The following is a 7,742-nucleotide window of genomic DNA, read 5'->3' as shown; positions in this document are numbered from 1 at the left end:
ATAAAGACCACAGGAGGGAGGAAATAAAATAAAGATATTTACATGCAAAGGCAAGCAAGCTTCCAGTATGGAGAGTATTCGTTTATGAATACATAGTCTTATCTTAGTTCAGTGTCTCTAGTATTTTAACTTCCTAAGGTAACATTTATCTCAATCAATATTTTCCTTGGCTGTGGTGGTTTCCTGGGAGACAAGCTATAGTGCACAGAAATCAGATTACTTTTATATTCCTTGGACAAAGATGAGAGCATTTAGCTTTTCAAACTATGTTGTAAAGCTAGAGTGATTCTGGGAAACTCATCATAAGAATCAATGTTATAGGTTATAATTAGCTGAAAGAAAAAACATCTTTCTGAAATATGACTGGCCTGTCTGTGATGGGATAAAATGGTTGCTAGGAACACAGGGATGCTGTTTTGCCAGAAAGTAAGATGTATGATCTAGGTAATAGGCTATTTTTGACAGTTATGTGATGGCTCTGAGAATTACGTAAAACATAAAATTTAAAATCACTAGTTTACCACACATCTTCTCTAGTCAGAGCCTAATGCAAAGTGTGGGAATCCTGGATTATTGCAACGACCACTAATTGATCCGCCTCCAGATTTTTCCCATCTAATCCATCACCGTGCAACCAAAATGGGAGTTATCTTCCTAAGCTAAAGCCATTCAATGGACTAATATGGCTTCTAATTGCTCATAGAATAAATTCCAACAGCTTTAACATGATTTTTAAGACATGGTAGCATCTGATCCTGCTTACCCCTTTCACTTTTATCAGTTGTTGAGTAAGAAATCTTAATTTCTTGGGGGGTAAAAACGTAACAAATGTTTCTATGTATTACATGTATTACCCTCTTTTGCTAAATCTTGTTTTATGGTCATTGTTCACTTTTTTCTTATGTAATTTTATTGAATAGATAATACCAGTGTAACTACAAAATTCAAATATTTTGTAATGGTATATAAGAAAAATGACTCTGTCTTCTACACAGTTACCCAATAATTGTAATTTATTTAGTGTGTGTCTTTGAAATATAGTCCAATAATACAAGAAATGTTTATTTTTACTTCACAAATGGTATCATTAGAGACACACTATTCTTTGCCTTGCTTTATTTTATCTATCTATCGATCTATTGATTGATCTATCAATCATCTATCTATTCATCCATCCATCAATGTAACTTTCTAGAGGCAGACGTATGCATTCAATTTCAGTATATACAGAACTATTTAAGTTGACTTCACAGTATTCCATTGTATGGCCTAAAAAATGTTATTGCCTTAGTTCACACCCTCTAGAAAGTAGAGCCTAATGCAAGAATTAAGTGCTAACACTTTATTTGAGAGGCACAAGCCCAGGGCCATGTGAGGGAAGAGGGAAGTGAGGCAAGGCAAGGTGTGAGGCAATGTGATGTGATGTGCTACCACACGGTCCCCCGCTTCACAACAAGCCATGAAGAGACATAGCAGGGTACTTAGCTCACTTAACACAGAAGGCTTCTCCAGAAGCATTTCAAGGAGGAAACACATCTCAATGTAGTCCACAATGGAGGGAAAGGAGGCCACATTATCTGCCTATTTCTTTCCTGTCCCTATTTCCCATTAGCTAAGCTTCACCCTCAGCTTATCTTTGCACTTCTAAGTGGTATCATCTGGTCCCTCAGCAGTCATTCAGGAGACCAGGTTTATGTAGCATAGTCTGGTATTTTATCCAAATCCAAAATTGAAGGGGTGACCCACTCTACCACAGTAAGTCACCCAAGAAAGACAGAGTAAAGAGAATCAAAGAAGAAACACAAGATTCATGTCCCAGTAAACATATTGTTTAAAGGAATTATTTAAAAATTACTGTAATCGGAGAGGATGGGGGAGAGAGGATGTATCAAAACTTATTCATGCTACCTGCCGTTGATTGTTATTTAGATTTTTGTTTACATTTAACAGTGTAGTAATGAATATCTTTCACATGCAATGGCAATGTCTTATATGTGCAAGTGTATCTGTAGGATTCTTCTGAGAGGTGGAATTGCTGAATCCAAGCGAGAATATATTTACAATTTTTTCAAATGTATGTGCATTTATTTGATTTTCTTCTGTTCAGGGTTCAGTGAAAGCCTTGAATCTGTGGCTTGTTATCTTTTATCAGTTTTGTAAAATTCTTTTTTTTTTTTTTTTTTGAGATGGAGTCTTGCTCTGTCACCCAGGCTGGAGTTCAATGGCATGGTCTCAGCTCAACCCCTGTCTCCGGGGTTCAAGCGATTCTTCTGGCTCAGCCTCCTGAGTAGCTGGGATTACAGGTGCATACCACCACTCCCAGGTAATTTTTTTTGTATTTTTAGTGGAGACAGGGTTTCACCATGTTGGCCAGACTGGTCTCAAACTCCTGACCTCAGGTGGTCTGCCCCTCTCGGCCTCCCAAAGTGCTGGGATTACAGGTGTGTGCCACCGTGCCTGGCCTGTTTTGCAAAATTCTTAACCATCATTCTTTTAAATATTGCATCTGGCTTGGCGTGGTGCCTCATGTCTGTAATCCTAGCACTTTGGGAGGCCGAGGTGGGCAGATCACCTGAGGTCAGAAGTTCTCAAGACCAGCCTGGCCAACATGGCAAAACCCCGTCTCTACAAAAATACAAAAATTAGCTGGGCATGGTAGTGTGTGCCTGTAGTCCTAGCTACTCGAGAGGTTGAGAAGGGAGAATCGCTTGAACCCAGGAGGCAGAGGCTGCAGTGAGCTGAGATCACGCCATCGCACTCCAGCCTGGGCGACAGAGCTTTTTCTCCTATTCTCTCTGTCCTTTATTTGGGGACTTTGATTCATGTCTCTTAAATTTTCCACCATGTCTCATGTGGCTCTTCTGTTTCTGTCCTTTGGTCTCTTTATCCTTCGGTTTGGATATGTTCCAGTAAACTATGCCTCTTGTCTGCTCTGTGCCATCTGCTCTTCAGTCAATCTGTTGGCTTTTTCCATTCTAATCTTGTCATTGATTCTTCTTCATTAAATACTCCAGTTCTCAGAAGAAACTTTCCATCTTGTCATCCATTTTTCTAACATACTAATTGCAGTTATTTTGACATCCACATTGGATAACTTCAATATCTTGATTATCTTTGGGTCTATTTTATATCTGTTTTCCCCCCTTTTGGTTTTTGCTCTTTATTTCTGTCTTCTGGGATGCCCGGCATGTTTATTTTTTATGGGATGCAAAGAATTTTGGTTGTATGTAAAGAATTATCAAGGTAACTCAGGGCTTTGGATGGCATTATATTCTTCCAGGGAGTCTATTTTTCTTCTGACAGGCAACTGGAGTTGTGGCAGACCACCTGTTCAGCAGATTTGAAGTTACAGGTCACTGTTTATGAGACATTGTCTTGGTTTGATTTGATCTTCCTCTGAGTAACTGCGCTATGGAGTCCTAGAAGTCTGAGGTGTCCCACTAGGCTCCTCAACTTTGGTGGGCTCTGATCTCTAAAGTTTTGCCTTCTCAGCATTGTCAGCTTCAAAACTGTGATCAGCTTCCCAGACTCTTAGGCACTGCTTTCTTTTCGGCTTCTCAACCTCTGGCCCCCTGAAGTGTAAGAAAACGTGAACCCAGGGATCGAAGTCACTTTAATGTGCTCCTTTCCCTCTGAATTCAAGCCCCTCAAAACTTGGCAAGCATGGCTACCCTAAACACAATTTTTAGTCTCCTCAGCACCATACAATAGCTGAAAGTTCTGCTCTGCTCCCCAGCTGCCATGCTGTTGCTTTCTGCTGGGCTTCTCTGAGTTTTAGGCAGATTGTGGATTGTCAAGGGCCTTGTGTCCTTCATGTCTGTGGACTAGACTCCCTAAGGCCACAGACACCTTGCATGGAAAATTGTTAAGAAGTATAGGGCTATTCCTCAAGGTGTTTCCATTCTCTCCAGGATCTTGACCTCTGGTCATACTATATATATATATATATATATATATATATATATATATACACACACACACACATATATACATATATATAGTCATGTAGATAAAGAGTCATTCTCTCTTTATGTATATAGAGAATATATATAGACAACTAGAATACATATATATAAAACTAGAAAATTATATATAATAAACTAGAATACATCTATCTACTTATCAATCTTGATCTCCCAGTTTCTGTAGTTTTCCTTCATGAAAGGGTAGTGTAATAAAAAAATCCCATTGCGAGGGTAGTGTTAGCAAAAATAAACACCCATCTCTTGACATGTGTTATAAATAAGAGTGACATTAGTATTTTGAGGATATCCTAGAATTTCAGGAGCATGTTTTCGATGACCTCGGACCAGAGTACAGTATCAAAATTCATGCCATGCATTGTAAGATGATTAGAAGAAAGAAAAGGAAATAAAAAATAGTAAACGTATAACTGGGAAGCCAGTAAAGTAGGAAATATTCTAGAAGTATATGAAGAAATTGTAGATCATGCTGACAATTTTACAAGCTATAAATAATAAAACTGTTCACATTTTGGTCCAAGAAAAAGATACATAAAATAAGAAACTATATATATATATATATATATATATATATATGAAAATGGATGTGTGGAGTCTCTTTAAAAAAGCTGGCAGTATCACCATAATTTTTTAAATGACCTTCCCCCCACCATAAATTGAAGAGAAACTAAGGTCTACAAGTCTGCATATATTCCTGCCTCTGTGTTATAGGATTCATACAAGACAGAAAATGTATTTCAATGAATAACATTTTATATCTGTAAAGTTAAAGATTTTATCCAATTTTTTGTTTCAGAATTTTCTCAATGGATGAAAAGATCTAATACTTCAGTATTCATTTGACAAATATTTGTTGAGTTTCCACTATGTTCCAGGCACTGTGAAGGTGTTTTGGATACATCAGTGAAGAGAATGTCCTTCTTTAGGGGAGCTTATATTATCGTGGGAGGAGAAAGGCCATACACACAAGTCAGTAGAACATGTAGCGTTGCAGATGAAACAGAGATTCGTGCAGCGGAAATGTGTGACGAAGTGCTCTTGGGGATCATTTAAGCTGGGAAGGAGATACAGTAGCCCACCCTGTGGGGGGCTCTGAAGCTGTGATGGTCTTTCAGAGTGCCCTGAGTTGGGCAAGGGGACGGGGCATTTATATGGCCACTTTGACCAGTTACTGAATGCATTCCCAAAAGCTGCTCAGCCTCGGTGGAAGCATCTCTCTTCAGTGGACAAGATGCCTGAAGAGAATGACAGCTGCCCGCTATGGGTGGCAGCACACTCAGCAGCTGGGGAAGAGCTTTCCAGTGCTCACCACAGACAGTTTGTAAGGAGTGATAAGTACTAAAGTAAAGTAGGGTAAAGAGGACCAGGAATGCTGGTGGTCCTGGGGCACGGGGGGATGGCTATTTACACAGGGTGGTCTGGGGAGGCTTCTGAGAAAAGGTATATTAGAACAAATCATGAGGGAAGTGAGATAGTTAGTCATGAGATTAACTAAGTCAGTGCAAAGCCCCTAAATTGTATGTTTGCTGGTGTGTGCAAAGAACAGTGATGAGGTTACTGTGGGTAGAGCAGCAGGAGTGAGGAGCAGAAGGATAGAATATGAGGTCAGCGAGGAGATGGTGTGCCAGTTTGTGCCAGTGCTTGCAGACATTTAAAGACTTTAGCTTTTACTAAACAGCGCCGTGGAGAGCCACTGCATAGTGGGGCAGAAGACTAAAATGCTCTATAGTTTTAAGAGAACAACTCTGGCTGCTGTGCTGAGGATAGACTCTAGGGACTCAGAGATAGAAGAAAACATTATACTTGGATATCAATGGTATAAAATAACTAATTAACTCATATGCAATAGTATCTTGGTGAAGACTTCTCTAATTTTGAGGGATCATATAAGGAACACAGAGAAAGCCCTTGCCCCTGACCAGGCACCTTGTTTTAAAAAACTGCTCTCATTTAATCTTGATGTCCACACTATTATTATCCCAATTTTATGCATTAGAAAATGGCAGTGCAGAAGGCTATGTAACTTTTCTAAATTCACACAGCTAGTAAGAAAGTGATTGCAGATCACTGGGATGGGAACTATTTCTTATTACAAAGTGTTCCCTGTAATTCAACATCGCCACTTCTTGAATCTTAGGTGAGTTGTTATTCCAAGCAGTGGCTACTTTATTTATACTAATTAAGTACCTGACATATCAGAGTATACATTTTGAGCCTCTTTTGTTAAATGTATTCCTATTTTACTCTTTATGATGCTATTACAAATGGGTTTGTTTTCTTAATTTCATTTTTGGATTGTTCTTTGCTAATGTATAGAAGTACAATTGATGTTTGTATATATTGATTTTTTATCTTCCAACATTGCTGAACTTGTTTATCAGATCAAATAATTTTTACTGAACTTCTTATGAATTTCCATATACAATATCTTGTCATCTACAAATAAAGATACATCTTTCAAATCCAGATGCCTTTCCTTGTATTGTATTGCCTAGTTGACTTGTCTAGAATCTTCGGCACAATATTGAATAGAGTGGCAAAAGGAGATATCTTTGCCTTGCTCTTGCTCAGTCTCATCATTAAATATTATGTTAGAGCTGTGGGTTTGTCACATATGCCCTTTATCAGCTTGAGTAAGTTTCCTTCTGTTTCTAGTTTGTTGCATGTTTTTATCACAAAAGAATATTAAATTTTGACGAATTATTTTTCTGCATCTATTGAGATGATCATGTGTCTTGTGTCCTTTATTCTATTGGTTTAGTGAACTACAATAATTTTATAAGTGAGAAAATGGCAGCATAGAAGGTTAAGTGACTTTTCAAAAATCACACAGCTAGAAGGGTAAGTTACCAGAAATAAAGTTGGAATGAGACTTATTTTTTATTTCCAAGAGCTTCCTGTAATTCAACATGGATATTCTTCTTGACTTTCAGGTGTTAAACTTTGTACTCCTGGGATAAATTCCTCTTGGTGATGGTATGTAATCCTTATTATCTGTTGCTGGATTTAGTTTGCTGGTATTTTGTTGAGGATTTTTTTTCATTTGTATTCATAGAAGATATTGTTCTGTAGTTTTCTTGTGATGATGTCTTGGTCTAATTGCAGTATCAGGATAATACTGCCTCAGATAATAAACTGAGAAGTGTTTCCTCCCCTTAAATTTTTTAGAAGAGTTTTTGAAGAATTATTGTTCATTGCCCTCTAAGTATTTGGTAGAATGTACCAGTGAAACCATCTGGTCATGAGCTTTTCTTTGTGGGAAGGTTTTTGATTATTAATTCAAAAAAATTGCTATAAGTCTGTTATGATTTTTTATTCCTTTTTGAGTCAATAGTTTGCATCATTCTGGGAATTTTCCATTTTATATACAGTATTTAATGGACTGTCACACAATTGTTTATAGTATTCATTTATAGTCCTTTTTATTTCTGTAAGGTCGGTAGTAATGCTTCCTCTTTAATTGCTGATTTTAATAATTTGAGTTTTTCTCTTCATCTTGGTCAATCAAGCTAACGATTTGTCAATTTTGTTGATCTTTTCCAAGCACCAACTTTCAGTTTCATGTATTTTCTCTATTGCTTTTCTATTGACTAAGTTATTTCCACTCTATTATCTCCCTTTTCTGTTTGCCTTGTGTTTAACTTGCTTTTTTAAAATCTAGTTTCTTCAGTCCAAAAAACTTCCTTCAATATGGTTGTTGTTTTGAGAACTTTCTTATTTTAAAATATAGGTGTTTTTAAATATAGATTTTCTTCTGAG

The sequence above is a fragment of the Homo sapiens genome, chromosome 13, assembly GCF_000001405.40.
Source record: "Homo sapiens chromosome 13, GRCh38.p14 Primary Assembly".
Lineage (NCBI taxonomy): Eukaryota > Metazoa > Chordata > Mammalia > Primates > Hominidae > Homo > Homo sapiens.
Note: the sequence above shows the minus strand (reverse complement) of the source record.